The 26,951-nt window shown below is 40.9% G+C and overlaps 1 protein-coding gene across 2 annotated transcripts in view, besides 2 other annotated features; it reads right to left on the bottom strand.

Annotated features, from left to right (window-relative positions):
• IQGAP1 (IQ motif containing GTPase activating protein 1) overlaps positions 1–26,951 on the bottom strand; it is a 113,998-nt gene that overhangs the window by 29,114 nt on the left and 57,933 nt on the right. For both annotated transcript variants that reach the window (NM_003870.4, XM_047433204.1), the window contains exons 10-19: positions 24,390–24,553; positions 23,483–23,567; positions 20,188–20,351; positions 19,834–19,994; positions 18,574–18,698; positions 16,811–16,974; positions 7,035–7,125; positions 6,690–6,857; positions 5,534–5,676; positions 116–286 (exon numbers count right to left, since the gene is read on the bottom strand). In NM_003870.4, the coding sequence (NP_003861.1) occupies positions 116–286; positions 5,534–5,676; positions 6,690–6,857; positions 7,035–7,125; positions 16,811–16,974; positions 18,574–18,698; positions 19,834–19,994; positions 20,188–20,351; positions 23,483–23,567; positions 24,390–24,553 (1,436 nt within the window). The remainder of the gene's footprint in view (positions 1–115; positions 287–5,533; positions 5,677–6,689; positions 6,858–7,034; positions 7,126–16,810; positions 16,975–18,573; positions 18,699–19,833; positions 19,995–20,187; positions 20,352–23,482; positions 23,568–24,389; positions 24,554–26,951) is intronic.
• Positions 9,444–9,533: an enhancer, noted in NCBI's record as "active region_10078". NCBI's record gives its function as "activates an Ori minimal core promoter by ATAC-STARR-seq in GM12878 lymphoblastoid cells {active_cell/tissue: GM12878}" and the evidence as "EXISTENCE:reporter gene assay evidence [ECO:0000049][PMID:35858748]".
• Positions 16,464–16,975: an enhancer, noted in NCBI's record as "NANOG hESC enhancer chr15:90999383-90999894 (GRCh37/hg19 assembly coordinates)". NCBI's record gives its function as "activates a minimal SCP1, AML or CMV promoter by ChIP-STARR-seq in primed H9 embryonic stem cells {active_cell/tissue: H9 hESC(primed)}" and the evidence as "EXISTENCE:reporter gene assay evidence [ECO:0000049][PMID:30033119]".

Raw genomic sequence — 26,951 nt, 5'->3', positions numbered from 1 at the left:
GACTAAGAGTCCAGCACTCAAAAAACACACTCAGACAGTCAATGGTGACAGCTGACCGTTTATTACCCCTGCTCTAGATGCCCGCTTGCTGTCTGTGTGATAGGTTCTGAAATACCTGAATGCAGGTGATGGCAGGGATTTGTTTCTTCAGGAAATTCATCCTGGATCGGAATTCCTGTCGAACTAAGTATCCACGGCAGCGAGCCTGCAGCCTGGTGATCAGGCCTTCATTGGCCAGCCACAGCTGTTCTCGGTTATATGCGGCAGTCACCCCAGAGATAGAACTCTGAAAAAGCAGTGGTCACATTCAAAGACATTCACAGGCAAGAATGGATGCAGGTTTTCACGAAGTATCATCCACAGCACACAAGCTAACACCTCCTGCTTCCTAAGTCTATACTAGATCATTAGCTACATAACAGGAATAAAGCCCTCAGGTCTGTTTTTTAGGACTAGGTTGTTCTCACACACGTCCTCCCACCTAGAAAACACTTCATAAACAAAAACTTGATCTTCTTTTACTTCATATGTCATCTCACTTATCTACCTATCCAACACTGACTAGGCTGGGCACTGTGCTGGCTGATCTGGGGTCACTGTAGACAAGAACAGAGTGACAGGTACCCAACAGGGCTGTGTGCCACGTACCGAGGGACCCCTAGAATGTCACAATGCAGGACATCTCAGGGGGAGAGACCAGAGGTGAGGACTGAAAATTGCTTCTCCAGGCAGATTGCAAATGGTCTTGAAAAGTAGCCTAGAGGGTTTGGACTGTTACTAAAGATACTGGACAGCCAGGAAATTTTGTCAAGCAAAGGAATAAAACAATCAGATGTTTATTATTTACTTTAGAGACAAGGTTTCATTCTGTCATCCAGGCTGGAGTGCAGTGGTACAATCTCAGCTCGCTGCAGCCTCAAACTCCTGGGCTCAAGCAATCCTCCCACCTCACCTCCTGAGTAGCTGGGGCTACAAGTGTACCACCATACCTGGCTAATTTTAATTTTTTAAAAAATATTTTTTGTAGAGGTGAGTCCTCATTATATTGCCCAGGGTGGAGATTATTTTTAGAAAAACAATACTGTTAGGAAAGCAGCTGACAGATTAGAGTGAGAAGAGACTTCAACCAAGTGGGTGAATTACAATGCTGCTATTGTGATCCAAGTGACAGATGGCCTGGGCTTGAACAAGGGCAGCAGCAGTAAGAATGGTTAGGAACATCTAGTTACTTATCCACATCTACCTTCTCCTTTCTCCTTGGTACCAGAGCCTCGATTTTTTTTTTTTTCTGGGCAACACTGTATGCACTTAAAAGACTCCACGAGTGGCCAGGCGTGGTGGCTCACGCCTGTAATCCCAGCACTTTGGGAGGCTGAGGTGGGTGGATCACCTGAGGTCAGGAGTTCGAGACCAGCCTGACCAACATGGAGAAACCCCATCTCTACTAAAAATACAAAAATTAGCCAGGTGTGGTGGCGCATGCCTGTAATCCCAGCTACTGGGGAGGCTGAGGCAGGAGAATCGCTTGAACCTGGGAGGCGGAAGCTGTGGTGAGCCAAGATCGCGCCATTGCATTCCAGCCTGGGCAACAAGAGCGAAACTCCGCTTCAAAAAAAAAAAAAAGACTTCATGAGGTAGAGCGAGGTCATGCGCTGTGAGCAGTAGTAGTATGGCAAGACCTTTGAGAAAGCTCCTTGAGAGAAACAGACAGCTGACAGTACACCTTTTTTGCTCTCCTTCCCCTTCTTCCTACTTCCTGCTTGGACTGCTAACTTGATGGTCAAAGCTCCAAACTGTCATTATAGGTGACAAGGTGACCTTGAGAATGGAAGCCACATGCTAAGAATGACAGAGCACAAAGATGAAGGATCCTGGGACAGATGATACCATGAAGCCACATTTTCCCTGGACTGCTGAACTGCAGAATCATTTCATGTGAGATAAAAATACAACCTTATACACTATTGCAGCCTCTGGTTTTTTCCTGTTAAACTGTGTTTGAGGTGTCTGCTGGACTTCTGGACTGCAAAATGAAGGGCAAAAACCTGGTGGTGGGGAAAAGGGCTAACGTCTGGAGGTACAGATTTAGGAGTCACAAGCACAAGGGTAAGGGCTAGAGCCACAGGCTTGAAAGAGATCACTCAGGAAGAATGTGTAGGAGAAGGCAGCCAATGGACTCTTTGTATAATTCAAGCAGAGGTCGAGAAAGGAAGGTAGCAAGAGAGATTAAGAAGGAACATTTAGAAGCAGGAAAATTAGAAGAGAGTTGGATGGCAGAAGCCAAAGGAATTGAGGGTTTGAGGAAGAGACTTTTGACAAGTCAAATATGATGAGTGCTCAGAATTGAATTTGGCAATTAAAAGGTTATTGATGAATTCTAAAATAAGAGTTTTACTAAGTAAAAGCTGGACAGGAAACCACACTGCTGTGAGCCAAGAAGTGGATGGTAACAGAGAGTGAATTAGTGACGAGTAGACTAACTTTCAAGGCCCTTAGCAAGAGTATGAATGTAGGTGAGGCCAGATCAGGGAAATTCCATGGGCTTTAAAAAAATTTTGTATTATTATTTTTTCAAAGATGTGGGAAATAAAGATGCTTAAGTATGTAGGCTGCTACTTAAAATACAGTCCTTGGGCCAGCAGCATCAACATCACCTGAAAGCTTGTCAGAAACAGATTTTCTCAGACCTCGCACTAGAATCAGAGCCTTCATTTTAACAAGATCCCAGGTGATTCAGACAGACATTAAATCCTGACAAGCACTGGAGGAAGAGCACAAAAAGTACAAGGTCTGCAAGGAACTGGGAGAGGATGAAATCAAGCAGTAAGATCAATAATGAGCTTTAGAAAGGATAGCTGTTTCCTCCAGAGAGAAAATGAAGAAGGAATCAGTGAAAATCCAAGTAAGTTCAAAGTACAGAGTGGTGAGTAGAGTGGGAGGATCTATATGTGATCGCCACTATTGTTGGCAGGAGAGGTAAGAGGTCAGGTCACATGCTGAAAATGAGGTAGCATCCCTTCCCTGTTTAAATTCTTAGGTCCATATATGCAAAACACTATTCAAACATGAGTGTTTCTGTGGAGGTTAATAAGATTCTCAAAGGTGTCCCTGAACTAACAAGAGTTAAAAATCACTCTGCTAGAAGTTGTACCCTGAATTCCTTAGCACAGCACATTAGGCCCTCAAGCTTCAACCTGGGCCTCTTGTCCTGCCACTCCTACCACGTGCCAGGTAATACACCATTCGCCTCTCCTTCAGTGGTCCATGTCCTTTCAGTACTCTGTGCTTTTTCCTTTTCTATTTTCTCTCCTACTTCCTTTTTATAATTTCAGCAAGCTCATCCTTAACTTTCCCTTTCTGTCTAGAACAGCCTTTTCTTTTTTTCCTCAGCTGCTAAAATATTATCTACGCTATGTTACTCCAGGACAAAATGAAAAATTCCCTTAAGACTTCCCTTATTGTGCTGTGATTAGAGCACCACTTCTCTCTGCCTTACATTACAGTACTCGGTTTTGTGTCTGCTGTTTTCACAACACTGTGAAACAATGGAAGGTAGAGACTCTCTGATACATATTTCTGTCTTCTCAATGCCCAGAACAGAGTTCAATGAATTTAAATTTCATCACCTGTGAAATCATTAGCAATGAAGATGAAACACTGGAAGGGTAAGAGACTGTAACCCACCATATAAAGAGAACTTTAACCACAAGGTAGAAATCACCCATCTGATGTTAACTCCTAAATAAAGGGACTATTTCAGTTTTTCCACAGGTGTATTTTTGACTTGTTCCACACACGATTTGGGAAATATTGCCAAAGGGAAGTAAATGACCTTTTGAAAATCTTTTACTGTCGTTTTTCTCTAGGAATCCTGAATGTCTGTTAGTAATATGTCTAACGACCTACAGGAGCTTACTGAGCATCTTCCCCCAGTATATATTCCTCCCCTTTAACATTCATTAAACAACTCTGGTTTAAGTAACAGGAGTGCAGCACCAAGTTAAAACTTAAAAGTCCTCAACAGTCCATCAATGACAATGTAACTTCCCCTTTGAGAAAGTACTGCAAACTTAGCAGCTCACCTTAAAAACTACTAGGGGGCATAGACAAGCACAAATGTCACTAAAATTCGAATCCAAGTACATTAAATTCTGAATGAATACCAAGTTCTTTGGGAGCTTCAAAGGAAGATGAAGGGGGTAAGGAAAGGAAATTTTAAAAAGATTCATAGAGGAGGTGACTTGAGATGGGTGTGCTTGGAGGACTGAATTTTTAAATTAAATATTCCTTTTTTTGAGACAGGGTCTTGCTCTGTTGCCCAGGCTGGAGTGCACTGCTGTGATCATGGCTCGTTACAGCCTTGACCTCCCGGGCTCAAGTGATCCTTCTGCCTCATCCTCCCAAGTAGCTGGAATCACAGACACACACCACTATGCCCAGCTAATTTTTGTATTTTTTGCAGAGATGAGGTTTCACCATGTTGCCCAGGCTTGTCTTGAACTCCTGGGCTCAAGCAGTCTTTTTGCCTTAGCCTCTCAAAGTGCTGGGATTACAGGTGTGAGCCACCATGCCCAGCCTGAATTTTTTTCTTTTATGATACCAACAATCAGTACAAAGGGAAGGAAAGAATTTTGACAGATATAGATGGCAGGGGAGAGACATCTCATGACAGCAGAGACTTTGTTTGGTTCATGACTATATCCCCATTCCTTAGAAGAGTACCTGCTACATTTGAGGTATTCAACAAATAACTGTTGAATGGGCTGGGTGTGCTGGCTCACGCCTGTAATCCCAGTACTTTGGGAGGCTGAGGCGGGTGGACCACTTGAGGCCAGGAGTTCAAGACCAGCCTGGCCAACAGGGCAAAACCTCGTCTCTACTAAAATTACAAAATTAGCCAGGTGTGGTGCATGCCTGTAATCCCAGGTATTCGGGAGGCTGAGGCAGAAGAATCGCTTGAACCCAGGGAGGTGGAGGTTGCAGTGAGCCGAGAATGCACCACTGCACTCCAGCCTAGGTGACACAGTGAGACTCTGTTTCAAAAAAAAAACAAAAAACAAACAAACAAACAAACAAAAACTGTTGAATGGAACAGTATAAGCAAAGACACAAAGACACAGAAGATGAAAAAGTACTTTAAAAGCTCTATGAAAATGCTAACTTTATTTGAAAGTGCAGGTTGTAGCTAATATAATTTGTGGAACAGTTAGAAGAGAGACTGAAAATATAAACTGGGAGAGATTAAAATAGTTGCATTTAATGGAGTTAGCAACTTTTCATTTTTCTTTTATAGATCATCTAACTTTTCTTAGCATATGGTTTATATCACTTAATTCTATAATTCAGATGTTTTACAAATTCAGGCCTCAGTCACTCCCCCAACTACTACAAAAAAATTACCGCAAAACAGCTCATTACATAACCTCAATTTTAGTCTAGGGCTTCTGACCACATGCCCTGTTCCTCTTAATTAATATTATAGCTTGAAAACACTTTCTCTCAGCTTCTTCTTACGTGAAGAAAGGTAACCTACCTGGATCTCCTCCCGAGAAAGCTGCATAGAATTTTGCACAAAATTTGGAGGTTCATCCCATCCTCCTTCCTGGGTCTCCAGATTGTGGTAATAATAATATCCACCTTTTACCCAGTGCTTCACCCACTTGCTGTTATTATCTCCTGGCAGAAAATAAAGGAAAGATAGAAGACATCCAGAGCCACACTCCCCAGCTGTACGTCCAGAACTGCAGGATTATTAGTTAGTCTCACAGTCTAAATGAAGACCACTCCAAAAGCTGCTCCTTGGATCTGTGAGAGTAAAGGGGCATGCTAAGCTCCCATTAAATTATGGCTTTGTAATGACTAATTTAGCTCATTTATGTCTATAAGAAGAAAATACCTATGAAGTCCAATTATGGAATTAACCATGATTAACTTTGTTCACTCCAAAGCCAAAGTTTAAGGCCTGTCTGTCTTAAAAAATGTGCAACCATTCAGCCTCTCCAGTTTTTCAATTTATTATTATTATTTTTTTTTTCAGACAGAGTCTTGCTCTGTTGCCCAGGCTGGAATGCAGTGGCATGATCTTGGCTCACGGCAGCCTCTGCCTCCCGGGTTCAGGCGATTCTCCGGCCCCAGCCTCCCGGGTAGCTGGGATTACAGGCACACGCCACCACACTCAGCTAATTTTTGTATTTTTAGTAGAGACAGGGTTTTACCATGTTGGCCAGGCTAGTCTTGAACTCCTGACCTCAGGCGATCTGCCCGCCTCAGCCTCCCAAAGTGCTGGGATTACAGGCGTGTGCCACCGCACCCGGCCCAGTTTTTTAATTTTTAAAAGTCCATAAAATGGGGTAAGAAATCTTATTTCTTTCCCTCTTTTTACAGACAAACTACTTTTAATTGCCTATAGGCTTAATCAGAGCTACTGCTACTCTGTGAAAGATAAACAGTTAAATATTTTAATCTTTCCCACATTCTCAGAAAATTGGCCTTATTAACACAGCTGTCCACAAGGGGGGGGGGAAGGATATTTTCAAAAATAGGGATTTTATCTCCTTTAAAATGAGCCTAAGTACTGTACATCTATGCTAAAAGGTCTTTCCCTATAGCTTATCCCTTTCCTCTACATCTGTCCCCTCATATACTCAAGGGTTAGCTTCAGGGCACATATGTATTATCCCAGAACTCACCTACTGCCAGTTTTTTCTTCTTGGCTTCAGCAAGATCACTGTGGTAAGTTTCACCACACTCAGGGATGACTCCATACAAGCCAACATCAGGGGAGCGAAGGGCACTCAGTGTTTTGCCAACATCACCACTTTCTACTGCCTCATTAATGGCAAAGATTCCTAAGGCAACTATTTCGGGAAAGAACTGTTACCAGAATAGTTTAGAGAGTGTCTAAATTCACATACTGCTTCACCTAACTATATCTACTGGCAAATTGTTCCCCCATACCTATCTTGGTCAAGCTGTACGGAGCACCTTGTCACCCCAGCCTCCACCAAAACAGAAATAAAACAGGTGATACATACACTTCTGTGCTTCTTGGGTGTCTTTGTTGGACTGCCAGATTCCACCTTGAATTTCATCCAACCATAACACAGCTGACTCATCCTGGATTTCCTACATATCATTAAAAGCAAAATATTAAAGTCATGAAATCAGGGTACATGTAACATACATGTGAAGAAGGGGGCTTCCTAGACTCAATTAAATATGGAAGAACAGGCTTAAAAAATATGAGACACGTGGGTTAGTCAAATGGAAGAAGGAGGCATCAAAAAACTGGTAAAAAGTTGGATGCAGTGACTCACACCTGTAATCCAACACTTTGGGGGCGCTGAGGCAGAAGGAATGCTTGAGCCCAGGAGCTCGAGACCAGCCTGGGCAACATAGTGAGACCCCGTCTCTCTAAAAACAAACAAACAAACAAACAAACAAACAAACAAACATAGCTTGGCCAGGCATGGTGGTGCACGCCTATAGTCCCAGCTACTAGGGAGGCTGAGGCAGGATTGCTTGAGCCCAGGAGGTTAGGCTGCAGTGAGCCATGTTCTTACCACTGCACTCCAGTCAAGAGTATAGACCGGTCTCCAAAAACAAACAAACTGGTAAAGGTCATAAGATAAGGGAAATGGCTCACATGTAGGTGAAGATTATATAAAGATGAATTTAAGTGGTTCAGGAAGTTGTGAACAGCTAGAAGGGGCAAGAGGCCCAGACAGACTGGGAAGGGGTCCAGAGACTTTAACAGGGTGACAAGGGCCAGGGTATATATATGAATATGCAGTACTTATTTGAAAGCCTCCTTTGCCAACAATGTTCAGAGGAAGTTAACGTTCTCTATGACTACTAATGTTTTTAAGACTGTCAAGTCTTACTTTAACCAGAATCTTTGACTCATCACATTTAAAGCCAGAAGTCACTACAGGCAATCTACATTTCTCACTAGCTGATATCCTAAAACTTGAATGTTAAATCAGTTGCTGGGAACTTAAAAGCAAATTTTCACACAGAAATATAATGAATGTTGTGATTACTTTCCTTAGTACAGCTAACAAAAGCCTCACAGCATAGTCTGAGTTGACTATTGTGGATAGAGATGATGTATGATGTAGTGGAGGTGACTTACTTTCCTCTTCCTAAATTCGTTAAGACAAGTTTCTTTTTTAAAGGCGCTTATTGGTGACCATTTGCTCTGAATGGCATTTTAAACAGAATTAGATTAGTAGAAATACCTTCCTCTAATATCTTCCAATTTTTTTTTTTTTTGAGACAGAGTCTCGCTCTGTCACTCAGACTGGAGTGCAGTGGCGTGATCTCGGCTCACTGCAAGCTCTGCCTTCCAGGTTCACGCCATTCTCCTGCCTCAGCCTCCCGAGTAGCTGGGACTACGTGCACCCGCCACCACGCCCAGCTAATTTTTTGTATTTTTTTAGTAGAGACGGGGTTTCACCATGTTAGCCAGGATGGTCTCAATCTCCTGACCTTGTGATCTGCACGTCCTGGCCTCCCATAGTGCTGGGATTACAGGTGTGAGCCACTGCGCCTGGCCGTTATCTTCCAATTTTCAAGAATGTGGCTGCCATATTTCAATTTGGGGAAGTAGCTTATGGATTAGCCCCAGGTAGTCACTACTGTTACTGAGAGTTAGCACAATAGGATTCTACTTCTACCTACTCTCAGTGTGATAGAATCAGAAACCACTGCTGATACCCCATTAGATTTCCATGGTCATACTGAGGTTATGTAGGTTTCAACGATCTCAAAAGAGTGGGGGTTCTTTATTAAGATGCCTGTAAGGTCTTTACAGAGAGCATCAATTCAGCAGATTACTGGGGCAATCTTCTCTAGAAAAGACAAGGCACTTCAGGTTTTAAAGTGGCCAGGTTGTGAGAGTCATGTTTGTGGTGATCTACGCAGACCCAACAAAATTAACATACTCCTGAGGCTTGAGCTAACAGCAGTTGGTATAAATAGCAGCTCAAAAATTCATTTAGATTGCTCGATGTGAATATAATTTGCCAAGGCATGAATGAGGCAGAATAAAGAACTTAGTAAATCACCATAACTATGTGCCTAAATGAGGCAGGGTCTGAGCTTTGAGGCAAAGTGAAACGTTTCACTGCCCAACAGTTGAAGTCACAAAACCTTAGGGAAGGCTTGGCTTTCCTCCTGTTTTATTAGAGAAAGACACAACATTTCACTCCATATAGTGAAGCAGCCACAATCCCTGCAATTTATAAAGAGTGCAGGTGACAGGATAAGGCCAAAGGAAAGCATCTGAAATTGAAAGCAGTGATTTCTCTTAAATGCAGTCTTTTAGAAAGATCATTTAACCTAATTATGGTAGGTGCTGGCCTTACAATTCTAAGAGGCACTGTCCCAATTTTAAGAAGCTCACAGTCTTGGGAAAGGGAAAGAGTAAACAGATAAATAGAATGCAAGAACAAATAAATCACTTAAAAGCTGCAGAACCTAGTACCTTCCTACCACTAGTCGCTTTCTATTACTGAAAATAGAAAATGACCACACACCATCCCCTAGAGTCCTAAGAATAACTACTGGAAATACTAGACAATAGTTCCAATGTGAGACAATACAATGAGTCAGCTGCAGGCTTGTGACAACTTAAATTGTGAAGTCATAAGCGAGAGGGCTGATGGTCTAGTCTCCAAGAGAAGCAGCAGAAAAATCCTCGTATCATAAAAACAGAAGCATTTCCACAGAATCAAGCCATTTTGGGTTCACTTCTGGGATAATCATACAACAGATATCTGAGCAGAATCTGCTGTAAGCAAAGTTGTGAGACTTAGCACAACCTCCCTTGCATTGAGAAAGGTAGAACCTTTCTAAGCATTCAGAATTCTTTCTTCCCTGCCCCATGCAGATTAAAGTAAAACCTTTCATACATACTCCTTAAGAAATAAGCAATAGAGCAATAGTATGAAAGGCAAGAAAAAGTGAATGGATGGGTGTCTCAGGTGTTTCAGGGAAACATTAATACAGAAAAGCCCCTCACCAGAATGAAGAAGGAAAGAGAGACAGCATACACTACACCTCATCCCAGTGTAAGAAGAAAGAACAGGTTCTTTCTGCTCCAATTAGACTGAATAAAATGACAAAACCCAAATCCTTCTGGTAAAATTTGTTTTAAAGAGATTACCTAAAGATTAACTCAAATGACTGAGCAGAGTGTTAAAGCCCAGGCTAGATATTATGGAGAGAAAACAGATTTGCTGTAAAAATGCTATCTAAGATATATTCAAGCACAGCTCCCTAACAACTCTGACACTTAGAAACACGCTGATTGCATTTCAGAAGAGGTAAAGAGATAGGGACCAGAAGTCAGAATTTAAAAAAAGAGTGGGCAATGATTGGAGGTAGAAGAGGTGAAGAAGCCACAAACACAGGAAAAGGGGGAAGAGGCAAAGGAATGACTATGTTATGTACATGTATATATGGAAAGCACACACTCACACACCCCTCTAAAGGGCACTTCTCATCACTCAAAACTTTTTAAAAAGACTTTACTTACTATGTGGCTTGGTTTGCATGTGTGATGATAGACCCAATATTACATATATAAATATATAACCACATATATACCACATACACACATAAACACACATACACAAATCTGTACAACACGTTTATCAACTACACAACATAAGCACTGACCAATCAGGATGGAGCAGAGTCCTTATGGTCACTGCTGGTTTAGTTGCCATATAGTGGGATTTCAATTAGAGTTGGGGAGTGATGGCAAAGATATGGGAGGGTTGGGACAGTAACAATGTACCAAACAAAATAAAAGAATTTCAATGTCCTAACAACTGGTACAGCTGTGCTGGTGTGAACCAGCTGATTACTAGCTACATGTATATAAGCATGTGTGCATAAGTGCATATACACACATGGAGGTCAGAGAGAGATTTAAGTCATTCTTTTTTTTTGAGACAGAGTCTCGCTCTGTCGCCCAGACTGGAGTGCAGTGGCCCGATCTTGGCTCACTGCAAGCTCCACCTCCTGGGTTCATGCCATTCTCCTGCCTCAGCCTCCCGAGTAGCTGGGACTAAAGGCGCAGGCGCCTACCACCATGCCGGGCTAATTTTTTTTTTTTCTTTTTTTTTTTTTTTTGTGTTTTTAGTAGAGATGGGGTTTCACTGTGTTAGCCAAGATGGTCTTGATCTCCTGACCTCGTGATCCACCTGCCTCAGCCTCCCAAAGTACAAAGATTACAGGTGTAAGCCACCGCACCCAGCCGATTTAAGTCATTCTTATTCTTTCTTCCTTTTTGAGATGCAGCTTCGCTGTCACCCAGGCTGGAGTGCAGTGGTATGATCTCAGCTTACTGCAACCTCCTACTCCCGGGTTCAAGCAATCCTCCTGCCTCAGCCTCCTGAGTAGCTGGGACTACAGGGGTGTACACCACACCTGTATTTTTAGTAGAGATGGAGTTTCGCCATGTCAGCCAGGCTGGTCTCAAACTCCTGACCTCAAGTGATCCGCCTGCCTTGACCTCCCAAAGTGCCGGGATTATAGGCGTAAGCCACCACACACGGCCTAAGTCATTCATATTCTTAATTATAAAATGAGTTCTTGAGGAGCCCTGATATCCATGTCTTGCATTCAGACTGTACTACTCACGACTAGTAATCCACTTTTATCAAGAGTCCCACAAACACTAAATTTAATGAAGAGAAACGTGACATTAGTGAAAATGGTAAAGACCTCTGAAAATCCTCTCCACCATGAAAAACAAACAAACAAAAAACATTGGTACACTGGCAAACAATCACCAGCATCAGTTTTTCTTTTTTTGAGACGGAGTTTCACTCTTGTCACCCAAGCTGGAGTGCAGTGGTGCTCATTGCAACCTCCACCTCCTGGGTTCAAGTGATTCTCCTGCCTCAGCCTCCTGGGTAGCTGCGATTACAGGTGCCTGCCACCACGCCTGGCTAATTTTTTGTATTTTTAGTAGAGATGGAGTTTCACCATGTTGGCCAGGCTGGTCTCGAACTCCTGACCACAGGTGATCTGCCCACCTGGGACTCCCAAAGTGCTGGGATTACAGGGATGAGGCACTGCGCCCAGCCCTTTTTTTTTTTTTTTTTTTTTTTTAAAGACAGGGTCTTGCTTTGTCACTCAGGCTGGAGTGCAGTGGTGCAATCTTGGCTCACCGCAACCTCAGCCCCCTAGGCCCAAGTGATCCTTCCATCTCAACCTCCCAAGTGCCTGGGACCACAGGTGCACACCACCGTGTCCAGCTAATATTTTTATTTTTCGTTAAGACAGGGTTTTACCATCTTGCCCAGCCTGGTCTCAAATTCCTGGGCTCAAACTATCCACCCGCCTTGGCATCCCAACGTGCTGGGATTACAAGCATGAGCCACTGCACCCGGCCAGTTTTTTCAATACGGTAGAAATTAACCAAAGGCTTGCAGAAATTGGAGAATGCATTCAAGAAAAACAGCTGAAACTCAGTAAGAACAGTGAGTTCTGTGGTGCTTTAAACTCCCCTATTCCAATCTGCCCCTCCTACCATCCCTTCAAAGCCCCATTCCCAAAGAACTGTCATTAGCTGACCTGTTCAGAGGTCACACTCGCATGGCTGTCTTTATTTGACCTGACCAAGAGCTCATCCACTGCAAACAGCCTTTTCTCCAAAAGCAATTGTCAAAAACATTAAGGATAACAGTTTAGGCAAACAAGAGACTAACTAAAAACCTTATAAGGAAAAGCTGGAGAATGAGATGTTCATGGAGAGCTCTGACAACTTGACATATTCCTGGATGGGATCTAGGAGGCCACAGTGCATGTGTGGGCTGTGCACATGCTCAGAAAAGATCTGATAAAGCTCTTGTTTAGCATATCATCATGAAATATAAAATGGGCAACCAGCGGCCCTCAGGGCTGCTCTGTCTATGGAGAAGCCATTCTTTTATTCCTTTACTTTCTTAATAAACTTGCTTCCACTTCACTCTATGGACTCTCTCTGAATTCTTTCTTGTGTGAGATCCAAGAACCATCTCTTGGGGTCTGCATCGGGACCCCTTTCCTACACAGTACTGCAGCTCAAAACAAAACAAAAAATATCCCCCACACAAAAAACTCCGGACCACGTGGCCTCACTGGTGACTTGTAACAAATGTTTAAAGAACTAGCTAATCCTTTACAAACTCTTTGAAAATATAAAAGGAACACTTCAAGTCATGAGGCCAGTATTACCCTGATACCAAAACCAAACACAAAGATATCAGAAGAAAATAAAACTACAGACCAAATTTAAATTAAGATCTTTTGCTCTCTAAATTTGTAACTCAGTGATAAATATTTTTAAAAACACTCCCAAATGGCTGATGGAGACTTAGATGCTCAGGTGATGCCAAAAACAAAAAACAAAACAAAACAAAACAAAAAACCCAAACCAAAAACAAACAAACAAAAAACAATTCCACCCAATGTGTAGTTCACCCAGCTGGGCCTGGCAATGTTAAGCAATTTTTCCTTTAACTCCCCCGACTTCCTCCGCCTTTGATGAAGTCTGAAAAGTTATTCCACAGCAAAGGAAATGCTTCAAACTCTATAGTCACATCCTCAAAAAGTTTTACTCCGATGACCCAAACAAAACGCACACACAGCCTTTTGAATTATTTACACTTTATCTATTCCTGACTTGATAGACATACTGTTTTTTTCCACTGTGGCTATCAGGAATAATGCTACTATGAAGATAAAGTTGTTAAAGTAATTGTAACATAAACTCATCTTTTAAAATGTTTGTCTTACCCGCTACCTAGTTTGCTGAGGAAATTGACAAGGTTTATGCCTCTTTTTATGCTGTTGCTGTCTAGGAAGTTGCCTTGTATGTAGTAGGCCCTCAAATAATTGTTGATTAAAGCATAATTAACATCTGTTTTCTAATTGTGATTGACCTCCTTTTCAGTGCTTACTAAGTAACAACAACTGGATAGAACCATAGCCTTCAGAAGACTCCTGAAGTGAGGCAGCAAGCGGAAGGGCTAAAAGAAATTTTTAATTCTGAGTAGCCAGACGTATAAAAACAGACCAAGGCTTTAGTGTATTGGAGCTTTTTGCACACTGACACTCGTGTGGGCTCTGTAAGTTTTGGTGAAGGGTAGAGGAGTGGGCAATTTTATATGTTGGTAATATTATGATGTTGACTGATCTCCTTTGATTACATTGGCATGGCAGTAGTTGACATTACCATGTCCTAATCATGTAAGTGTAGTATCTGATAGATACTACCAGGTTTCATTTAAGAGATATAATTATGCAGAATGTCACTTGATGCTGTGGAGAGGGTTGAATCACAACTGCTATTTCATAGCCAGGAAATTGAGATCAACTGATTTTACTTACTCGGATAAGAAGTAGTTGGCTCTAGGGAAGCTAGAAATGGAAGTCTCTGTCTTTGATTCATTTTATTAGATTAGTGTTTCCCAAACTTGGCTGGTCATCAGAACAATGAAAAAGTCATTTTTAAAATACAGATTCCTAAGCTTAAAGTCTAATTCTACTGATTCAGAATCTCTAATGTGTCAGGCTGCAATGATTCTATGTATGCTAGTGGTAGTAATGTTTGTTTTTGCTGCTAAGAAAGTCCAAAGGGAGCCTTATATCTGACTGTCAGAGGAGTGGGGTTTCGGAGAATAAGCTAGGTCGGCTTCCATATCTAAAAAGGGAAGTAGATTGAAGATACAACTTATATAGCTGTCACTCATGCTAAGTGTCTATCAAATCACGAATAAAGTGCAAATAATTCATATGTCATCAACTCATGAATGGATAAATAAAATGTGGTAAAGTGGAAATAATCCATGTGTCATCAACTCATGAATAAATAAATAAAATGTGGTACAGTCATACAATGGAATATTATTCAGCAACAAAAAGAAATGAAGTGCTACTGCTACAGCTTGGATAAACTAAGCTAAAAGAAGCCAGTCACAAACGACCATACATTGCATAACTCCATTTATATGAAATGTTCAGAATAGACAAACCCATAGACAAACCAGCAGTCTGATGGTTGCCCAGGGCTGGGGGAGATTAAGGGAAAATGAGTGACTACTAATGGGTACTGAGTTTCTCTTGGGGTGATGAAATGTTCAAAAATTGACTGTGGTGATGACTGCACAATTCTATCAACGTACTAAAGTCCACTGACGCTGAATTACCTGATACGTGAATTACGTTTCAATTAAGTTGTCACAAAAAACCTTCATGACATTATCTATTAAAGCTTCATATATGTGTTCCCTATGGCCATAACTCCTCTCCAAAATGTATACCTAACAGAAATGCACATATATGTTTTTAACCAAAATTAAAAATTCATAGAAGCACTATTTACAGGCCATGGGCAGTGGCTCATGCCTGTAATTCCCAACACTTTGGGAGGCTGAGGCGGGCAGATCACTTGAGGTCAGGAGTTCGAGACCAAACTGGCCAACATGGTGAAACCCCATCTCTACAAAAAATACAAAAAAAAAAAAAAAAAATTTTAGCCAGGCATGGTGGCTCTCGCCTGTAATCCTAGGTACTGGGGAGGCAGAGGCAGGAGAATTGCTTGAACCTGGGAGGCAGAAGTTGCAGTGAGCTGAGATTGCGTCATTGCACTCTAGCCTGGGTGACAGAGCAAGACTCCGTCTCAAAAAAAAAACAAAGAAGCCCTATTTACAACAGTCTGAAAAAACAAACAAAACAACAAAAAACTTCACCAATAACATATAACCACACAATGAAATAGTACACAACAATGAGAATGAGCAAAGGATGGCTCCATGCAACCACATGGATGCATATCATTAACATTATTTAGGGCAACAGAAGCCAGACACAAAAGAGCACATAAGGTATGATCCCACTTAAATACAGCTCAAAAGTGGACGGAAATGAACTGTGGTGTTATTAATAGAAATCAGAATAGTGCTTACCACCAAATGGAGGGTGGCTAAGGGTGGAAGGGGATATGAGGAAGGTCTCTGTGGTGCTGGTAATGGGTTCTACAATCTGACTGCCAAATACACAGGTGTGCCTCCTTTTGAAAATTTATGCAATTGCATACCCATCTACCTTGTTCATTTTTCTGGATCATATATATATATTTTTTTTTCTGGATCGTATATATGTATATATACGTATATTATATATATACGTATATATATATATACACACACACACACATATATATATATATATATTTTTTTGAGACGGAGTCTTACTCTGTCCCCCAGACTGGAGTGCAGTGGCGCAATCTCGGCTCACTGCAACCTCCACCTCTCAGGCTCAAGTAATTCCTGTGCCTCAGCCTACCAAGTAGCTGGGATTACAGGCATGCACCACCACGCCCAGCTAATTTTTGTATTTTTTTTTTTTTTTTTAGTAGAGATGAGGTTTCACCATGTTGGCCAGGCTGGTCTTGAACTCCTGGCCTCAAGGGATCTGCCTGCCTTGGCCTCTCAAAGTGCTGTGGGATTACAAGGCGTGAGCCACTGCGCCCAGCCCTGGATCTTATATTTCAGTAAAGAATTTACTGAAAGAGACACAAAAGACTGTCAACAACAAACAAAAGAACAAAAACCCAAATGTGTAAAACAGCATGAGCTCCTAGTAGGTGGAGCCTATGTCTCTCACATTTTTGTGTCCCTCCAGTGCTTTGAATCTAAGGGTGCCCAGAAGGCATTCACTGAATGAATCAAGGAAGATATTCCTACCTCTACCTTTGTTCTAGGAGGGCTGAGGTGCTCTGAACATAAAGAACAATTCCGATGCCACTCACCTGGGCTTTCTCTCTCTTCGCTCTAATCAGCGTGTCTTGGTAATGCTGGGCCACTTCTGCAAGGACTCCCTCAAGTTTAGCTGCAGGAATCTGTAGGGCCTGCAGAGTCTTTTGGGCATCACCTTCATCCAGGGCTTCATTAATTAAACCAATGGCTAAAATCCCTAAATATAAAGAGACAGAAAGTTTTTTTTTTCTAATTAAGGAAGTACATAAACAAATCAATCATGGAACATGCTAACTAATCATAAATCCACCTAAGAGTAACCATGATTCAAACTGCAACTTACCATCCGTTAAGCAGCACTGTTTTCATTTTTTAATTAGTATTTATTTCAACTAAACTCACTTGTATTCATATTCCTATTGAATGCTCAAGTCCTTTTGTTTCATTTTTAATTGCTCTAACTTAAAAGCGATGAGGATTTTTATGAAACTGGCCTTACTGTATAGCTTTCAGGTACACTGGAATGTGTAATCAAAAACATTCTTGAGTCACAAAGGATTCACGAAGAGTCTTAAAAAGGTTCAAGGGTTCTTAAAAAGTCATCTAATTCAACACTTTTATAGAAGAAATAACAAGGCTTAGCAATCTCTTCTCCAAGATTACACAGCAAACAAATGGCAGAAGAAAGATCCAAGCGCAGGGCTCCCTAATGCGAAGCAAGGCTCTTCCCACCAAGTCAGTTGAATATTTCTCCCAGGAAATACAAATTAAAATTAGGAACGTTCACTCCCCAGGTATCTTAGGCAGCCGTACTGCTTTTGTAAGGACTCTGCTGTATAATAAAAAGTCTGGCTGGTCTTTGTCTCTGGGGGAGCGTCTAAGACCCTTGGGATATCCTGAGTGATAGGTATGTTTCTGTGATTCATGGTGGGCCCCTCCGCCCACACCTGAATTTATGCCAACCAATGACTCCTGGTTGGCCTCATGAGAGTTTAAGGATGGAGGCTGGCCATGCTGGAAAGATCAACCACTGAGGTATAGAGTCACGTGATACCAGCCTGGCCTCCCATTCTCCAGGGAGCAGAGGCCAAATGAAAATTGAGTTTAATCGCAAAGCCAATACTATCAATCACGCATATGTAACGAACCCAAATAAAAACTCTGGACACCCAAAACTCAGGTGTGTTTCCCTGGTTGGTGATACACGTCAATGTGCCAGGAGAGTGACACATCCTGAGAACACAGAAGCTTCATATTGGGGACTCTCACAGATATTGCCTGATGATTCTCTTCTTTCAGCTGATCCTGATTTACATATTTTGTAATAAAATTTTAATCGTAAGTCTAGCATTTTCTTGAGTTCTGTGAGTCATTCTAGCAAATTATTAAACCTGAGCGGGTAGAAGGGATCCTCCAAATTTGCAGCCAGTTGTTCAGAAGTACAGTGGCCTGGGAACCCTGCAGCTTTCAGCTTGTGTCTGAAGTGAGAGGAGTCTTGTGGAGGACCATGCCTACAACCTGTGCAATTCAACCTAATTCCATGTAGTGTCAGGACTACTTGTTATAACAGCATTTAAAAATAACAGATCATGTTCAATTCACCTCCCCCAAAATTTAGTTCTTACTGGACATATACCTAATTATAGCAATTGCCTGGTGTTCTCAAAACAATATCCAACTTTAGCCTTTTGTGTTATATAGATATTTTCAATCTCTCACCCAAAAATCCTTCTAGGAGTAGTATTTTGAACCACTTCATGGAATCACATCATCATTAATGGTGACATTATTTGGGGAGGACAGGAAGATAACTCACTCTCATGTTCCTCTTGCACCACCAGGTTCACATGGTCCACGCAAGCTTGGATATCATTCCATGTAATGAATTCATTATTCTCTGCATGTGCCTGAGCCTTCAGTTTCATCAACTCATCGAGATACCTGCCCCAGACCCCCAAGTAAAAAGAGCATTAAGCACAGCATGTTTAAATATTCAAGGAACAAAGATTGCTAGGGTATCCCAACCATTTGATATATTCTCAAGACCAGTTTTGGAACTGCACAGTTACTTTAAACAAAGTGCAAAAATGCAACAGAAATCACTTATTCTCAATATCCTGTTACATATTCTAAATTCCATGTTAAGACTAACTCTAGAATTAAAGGCAGCAGTTCAAGCAATTCCTCCATAGACAAGAAAAAAAGGCTACACATGAGCTAATAAATGCAGGAGGAATGACAGAGCAACAAATCATCATTCAGCAACTTTTACTGAAGGTACTGATTTAGGAAAGATTATCAATTGGGTTAAAAATATCACGTGAATGCTTAATGGAAAACTAGATATTTTGACGGTGCAAAAGAGATGATGTTCTAGTGATGAGGGAAAAGCGTAAATACGCAATGGAAGTATAAGTGGTCTCCCTAATCCAGGGATCAATCTTAGTATCTCTAATGGTGGGATGGTGGGAAAAGTGGGTTTTATATGCCTATTGATATGAGGCAATATGAAATACACATCATCAAAAATGTTGAACTGAATCGTGACAAGCCTAGAAATTTAATTTCCAATTTACAGGAATAAGGCAAATATGAGAAAGCAACTAGAACTATCCATAAAATAGGCAATTGGTCCCATCCCTTTAACAAGTCAGTCTCATGAAGAAAGGGACAATTCTAGATTAAAAGATACTCAAGGGACACAACAGCCAGATATAATACATGTTCCTAGGCTAGATCTTGTTTTCAACAAAACAGCTATAAAGGACAGTTTGGGAACAAATGAAGAATGAAAATGAACTAGCTAGGGTTAGATGATATTTAAAAAGTATTATTTAACTTTGTCAGAGATAGTGTTATTTTGACTATGTAACATATTTAAGCCTACTTATATATTTAGGAACGGAATGTCATATTTTTCAGCATAACAAAGAATTAAGTGAATCAAAGTAGAACCAAACAAAAGTATGACCATGATAAAGTAATAATGCCTGCAAAGAAAATCGGAGCACTGACATACAAAAGACAGGGTTAACAGCTACGTAATGGATTTATTCCCTTCACTCTGGACACCCACCTCTGACAGTTTTCTTCCTCAATATTGGTAAGACCAGTAACTGAACTGCTCAATTGCTTCCACACTGTATTCACATCTCCTGATTCCAATGCCCTGTTGATCAGGGCCACCGATGACAACATCTCCACTGCGACAGAGAGCTCTGGGTGGGTGAGATTATGCTGTACAGAAAGGGACAGAAGGGAAAACAGTGAGGAAAGACATTCTCCAAGACCCAGGGAGTTATAAGTTTAATAAAACTGTAAGAAAACCAAGTTTATGCAAAAAAGTTCTACCTAACCACAGGAAGAAGTGGGTATTACACTCACGTCCACCCAACTTTGCTCACAAACAGGACAGGTTTAGTGAACTCACTTCAGGACTTTGTCGCTGCAGGGTAGCCAGCTCCTTCTGATAGAGATCGGCGGCAAATGGATACACCTGGGGCAGCTGGGCTTCGGGATTCATCAGTTCCAAAACAGTCTTCTCAGCAACACCCTTCTGGATTGCAGCATTAATCAGTGCTACTGCTGCCAATCCTGTGTAAAAAACAGGAGTCAGAAACGCAGTGGGCTTAGAGAGCCCTCAGGGGAAGAAGGTGCCAATCTTCATGGGAAAAATATCACATTCTGTGGCTATCAGCCATGAAGTTTGAAGTGGAACTTTCGTCTTTAAAAAAGCAGCCTCCTTTGTCTGAAGAAGGGTGAACTGTACGGTATGTGAACCATGTCTCAATCAAGATGTTTTCTTCAAAAAGCAGCCTCCTAACTGTTCTCCTCATCCCTATTTTCTTCCCGTTCAATTCATCCTATATGCTACCACTACTTCCCATCTAAACCACCTCTTCCTTCTCCTACTGCCTGGCTTCTTAAGCTACCATTCAAAGCTTTCTACAATCTTTCCACCCCTTGATCTTACACAACTCAGCCCAAAACATTTACAAAATTTGTATTCTAACCACCATTCCTCAAAGACATCTTTCACTACCTGTACTTCCGCTCCCACCTCCTTTTTCCCTCATTGTCCTGCACTAGGACGTTCTTTTCTCACCTCTTTCACCATCCAAATCTTAGCGATCCCTTAAGTCTCACCTCCTCCAGATATTTCCCTAACAAATCATGAAGTGTGTGCGAGCCAAAGTGAGGCTATATTGACTCCAGTTCTACCTTTAAAACTGGAGTAACTTGGCCAGGCACGGTGGCTCACGCTTGTAATCCCAGCACTTTGGGAGGCCAAGGCAGGTGGATCACGAGGTCAGGAGATCGAGACCATCCTGGTCAACACGGTGAAACCCCGTCTCTACTAAAAATGCAAAAATGAGCTAGGTGTGGTGGCACGTGCCTGTAATCCCAGCTCCTCAGGAGGCTGAGAGAGGAGAATCGCTTGAACCAGGGAGTCAGAGGTTGCAGTGAGCTGAAATTGTGCCACTGCACTCCAGCCTGGCAACAGAGTGAGACTCCGTCTCAAAAAAAAAAAAAAAGGGCACACAGACCAACAGAACACCATAGAGAACTCAGAAACAAAGCCACACATTTACAGCCATGAGGAGAACATTTTTTGACAAAGACACCAAGAACACACATCAGGGAAAAGACAGTGCTATGGTTTGGATTGGTTTATTTGTCCCTACCAAATCTCACATTGAAATCTGATACCTGACATCACCCTAAGGGTATGAAAAAAAAAAAGAAGAAACTTGATCCCCAGTGTGGTGGTGTTGGGAGGCAGGGCCTAGTAGGAGCTGTGTGGGTCATAGGAGCAAATGTCTCATCAACGGCTTTGTGCCATTCTCATGGTAGTGAGCTCTTGCAAGATTGGATTGGTTCTTGGGGAGAACGGATCAGTTCTCATTAGAATGGGTTGTTATAAAGCCAGGACCCCTACTCACTACCCCGGGGATCAGTCTCTCTTCACATGAGCCCACTTGCCCTTTGATCTTCTCCTTCATATTTTGATGCAGCACAAAAGCCCTCACCAGAAGCTGAGCAGATGCTGGTGCCTTGCTTCTTGCACAGCCTGCAGAGCTGTGAGCTAATAAATTACCCCACTTCAAGTATCCCTTTATAGCCACGTAAAATGGGCTGAGACAGACAGTCTCTTCAATAAATGGTGTTGAGAAAACTGGATAACCATATGCAGAAGAATAAAGCTAGATCCCTATCTCTCATAATATACAAAAATAAATCAAAATAGATTAAAGACTTAAATCTAAGACCTGAAACTATGAAGCGACTGGAAGAAAACATTGGGGAAATGCTTCAGGACACTGGTCTAAGCAAAGCCATTTAGCTAAGACCTTAAAAGCATAAGCAACGAAAGCAAAAATAGACAAACAGGACTATGTCAAGCTAAAAAGCTTCTGCACAGCAAAGGAAACCAACAACAAAGTGAAGAGACAACATATAGAACAGGAGAAAACATTTGCAAACGATCCATCTGAGAAGAGAACAATAACCATAATATATAAGAAATTCAAACAACAGCCAAAAAAAAAAAAACAAAAAAAAACCCCACAAATAATCCAATTTTTACATGGGCAAATAAGCTGAATAGATTTTTATCAAAAGAAGACACACAAATGGCCAACAGGTATATGAAAAAATGCTCAACATCATTAATCATCAGGGAAATACACATCAAAACCACAATGAGATACTTTCTCACCCCAATTAAAATGGCTTTTATCAAAGACAAAAAATAACAAATGCTGGGAAGGCTGCAGAGAAAGGGCTCATACACTGTTGATGGGAATATAAATTACTATAGCCGCTACGGAAAACAGGATGGAGAGTCCTCAAAAAATTAAAATAAAACTACATATGATTCAGCAATCCCATTGCTAGGTATATGGCCAAAAGAAAGGAAATCAGCACTCCCATGTTTACTGCAGCTGTATTCACAATAGCCAAGATATGAAATCAACCTAAGCGTCCATCAATGAATAAATGGTAAAAAAAAAAAAAAAAAAAAAAAAAAAAAAAAAGGTAGTGTATACACATAATGGAATATTATTCAGCCATAAAAACTGAAGGTCATTATGTTAAGTGAAATAAGCCAGACACAGAAAGGCAAATACCTCCTGATCTCACTCATATATGGGAGCTAAAAAAGTGGATCTCACAGAGGTAGAGTTGACTGGTGGTTCCCAGAAGCTGGGAAGGGTAGTGGGGAGGAGGACATAGAGAGGTTGGCTAACGGGTACAAAATTACCATTAGATACAAGGAATAGGTCTAGTGTTAGATAGCACAGTAGGATGATGATAGTTAACAATAATGTATAGTTCAAAACAGAAGAACTGGAATGTTCCCAACATCAACAAAAGATAAATGCGTTAGGTGACAAATATTCCAATTACCCTGATTTGATCATAATACATTGTATGCATGTATCAAAATATCATACGTCAGTGCTTCTTGGTTGGTGTCAGTGCTTCTTGGTTGGTTTAAAAAACAAAACACATGTACCCTCAAAATATGTACAACTATTACACAGCAATTAAAACCACCACAACAACAAACTGGAGGAACCCTCCTGCCACCAAAAGTACCTGGCAGTTGGTTATGGCTAGTAGGCTCAGAGTGGGTGATGACGATGACAGAAGCTAACCTCAGACCCTTCAATAACACAAAGCCACAACTTTCCTCCCATACAATTTCAATGGACTCTTACTTCTCTGATATTGCTGGGCAGCACTGTTTGCAGCATCCACTCCAGACTGCAGCTCCTCCTTCTGCAGGGGGTCAGTCTGACCACTCTGAGCAAAGCAAAGAAAATTATGTAAAGATTACTCATTCCTATGACTCCAGGCCTTAAGGTTCTCATCTCTCAAAAGCAGTCACTAGGGACAGAGAGAGCCATAGTCATAAGTGACAGCTCAGGCTACATGCAGCCAAGGTGGCAGCCCCAGGTAGAGCCAAATGCCTTTGCCAAAGCTGGGGTAGAGTGACTTTACAGATACCAGTACATTCTTAAACATATTACATGAAAAGCCTCAAAAAGTTCTAAGGAAAAAGTGTTTGTAGAATCTTAAGCACGTTAATGCTACTTACTTTGACCAACGTACGCTGGATATTTGTAAAATGTATACTTGCCCTTATTTAGACAAAAAAGAAAGCCCCTCATGTTTGTTCTAAAAAAAAAAAACCCACGAAATACAATCCCACACAAGCTACCCTGACTGCACAGTAAGTACTTTTCCAGCTTTGGCCAGAGCAAACTAATAAGGTGCAGTTTTTTTTTAAAGTGCAAATTCCTGACGTAAGAATGCAAAAATATTCAGGTTTTCCCCAATGTCTTTTAGTTGGAGAGAGAGACAGCTGAAGTGAAGGAGTGATTAGACTGGGGATGGGTGGGTATTGTCTGTTTATCTTAAAAGAGGATTCATAGCTCTAAAAGCAAAAGTGAGCTGAAGACAATGTGTATTTTACCTGAGGATTTTTTTTTAAACTAATTTATATGCAGAGGAAAAAGTCGTATTGGGGGAAAAACAAAGGCAGCATATATATCTTTAAATGACAGCATGGGATTCGAATGGATATATACAAACTCTTGCAGCTTCAATCCAGACTATGTTTACCTGTCTCTTCTGCTGTTTATCACTCAGGAGCTGCTTCAAGTACCAGTCGCTATTCTGTTGCTGCAGTCCTCGAAGCCCCAGGGCTGGTGACTGCAGAGCCCTGAACAAGGCCAGTGCATCTCCTTGTTCTAAAGCCAGGTCGATATTTGCTAATGCAGAAAATGCTGAGGAAAAAAGGCAAAAGCTTGTGAAAGGACTATGTTAACAGAAGAGCCTAGAATAGTTTTCCTTCCCCAAAACCAATCTCAGTTCCAGATAAGGAAATATAACTCAGAGAGCCTTTACTCTGTGATTCTCAGAAGCATAAGATCTTGGGATTGGAAAAGAACCTTAGAGTCATCAAGTCCAGGGGTTCCCAACAAGCTATTCATCAGATTTCATACAGATTCCTGGGCCACACTCCCAGCCTACTTAAAAACTTCCAAATGTAGACAGCTCAGCACCAATATGGAGCCACCAATCCAGACCAACATGACGCTTAAATTCCCTTAAAATGCCAAGTAGTTGTCCAGATTATACTTACAGACTACCAAACAGGAGAAAGTATCTCCCGTGGCCACTTACTACATCTTTGGACAATTTTGTTTCAAAAATATTTTTAAAGCTCCAACCCTAAAGTTCACACTGAATACATTCCACTGCCCCTCCCTATGACAGCAAATGCCTTACTAGCAGCCTTATTTCCTTTAACCATGTCTTACATAGCACCATTTTGAATCCTCTCATTACCCTGATACTTCCTGAACACACTCCACCCACAACAGTCAGTGCCCTGCTATCAAGGGTGGTCCAACCTGTGCAGAGTGAAAGGGGTCATCTTCCCCTTTCCACATTCTCTCTTCTAATCATAGAACCTGAGGTCACACAAGCTCTATAATACAATACATGACAATGAAAACCCAGATGTTCCTTCATCTGAAAATGATAATGAAGATACCTTCCGTCATAGGAATATTTTTAAGATTAAATAAAATCATATACATAAAAGCACTTTATATATTGTAAAAAAAACAAAACAAAACAAAAAGGTATTCTTAGCCTGAAAGACAGAATAAGATAATTTCTGATTTCAGAAATGATAGCCACTAAGGAATCATAATTACTTTTTTACTTTCCGTTTCCTTATTTTTTGAAGAGAAAATGCCTGTCCCTACCACCACTCACAGATAAACATCTGATTTTATCACAGTAGCAAAAAGAAATCAATAAAATACCAAAAATAAAAATATCTGGGGCATAATAGTACTTATCAATTGCAAATGTTTTCATTAGTAAAAAACAAAATAAAATTAATAAGCTGTTATAAAGAAAATCAAAACAGCCCAAGGGAAAATAAAGTCTCAAACTAGAAAATGGGAAGTAGGGGCAATGAGGAGACTAGAACTATTTAAAAAAAGGGCGGAAGAAAAGGTTAAAACATTGGTATGGATGTGAGGTCTCACTGTAGGCTCCTAAGATACTGTTTATTTCTTCCTAATATTCATACCTGCCATTCAACTGAGCACCATACCAAGGTGGTGGCTTCTCAAGTCATGTCTGCAGGTATATGTGGCTGTTAGCCAACTAATCATCCATTCCTTCAATGATATTTACTGAGGATCTGCTATATGTTGCAAATATAATTGTGAAAAAAACAAATATCCTGTCCTCAAGGAGCTTTCATAGTAGCTAGGGACAGAAAATAAAATCAATGTAGATAACAAACTAGACTTTCTCTAGGTATATAGCATAGAGTCTTAGATTATCTATCTACAAAAGCATCTAGTAAATTTTGCTTTTTCTAGAAGTGTACACATACTACTTAAATATGTAAATATTAAATGAATATCTATAAACATTTATATTGCAAACATAATAAAGTGTGGAACATTACTTAAATACTTTCTCTCACTGAACTTTAGTTATATAACTCTAATTTTCCTTAGTCTACTTAACAAAAAATAAAATAAAAACTTTTTCTAATTTTTAACTGCTTGGCCTGCAGCTTTCTCCTGGGGCAGCATCAATGGCCTCATTGCTGTTTCGAATGCTCTAGGCAAAGAATCTTATCTATAATTACATTAATTCCTGGAACCCGAAGTCCCTATATCCTCCTGGCATCTAACTTTCCTTTGCCTCAAGACTTTCTCTACAATTAGGAAAAGACTGTCCTTTTATAGGGAATTCTGCCTTATCCTCACCCTCTTATCTATCCTAAGGATCCCTGTGAAGATCCATGTACACTGAAAACCTGCTCAAACTTCTAAGCAGAAGTCATCATTCCCTTCTTTATTCTATGACTGCACCACATGTGCTCTTGGCATCTTGCTCTAATCAAGCTGCCCTAAAAGTACTCATTTGTATGTCTATCTTCCCCACTATACTGAAAGGTATTTGAGGGAATTTTTATTATTTTGCTCCTCTGACTACATAATAATAATATGAATAGGACATTTTAAGAACATATTATTATTTCCTTACATGTGCTCACAACTGATTCTTATACAATTAGCAAGGTAAAACTATAAAGGTTATAAAATACCAAACAGTAAGGTAGAGAAAAATCCCTCAGTAAAACAAAAA

The sequence above is a fragment of the Homo sapiens genome, chromosome 15, assembly GCF_000001405.40.
Source record: "Homo sapiens chromosome 15, GRCh38.p14 Primary Assembly".
In the NCBI taxonomy this organism is placed as follows: Eukaryota; Metazoa; Chordata; class Mammalia; order Primates; family Hominidae; genus Homo; species Homo sapiens.
Note: the sequence above shows the minus strand (reverse complement) of the source record. Positions and strands in the feature narration are given on the sequence as shown.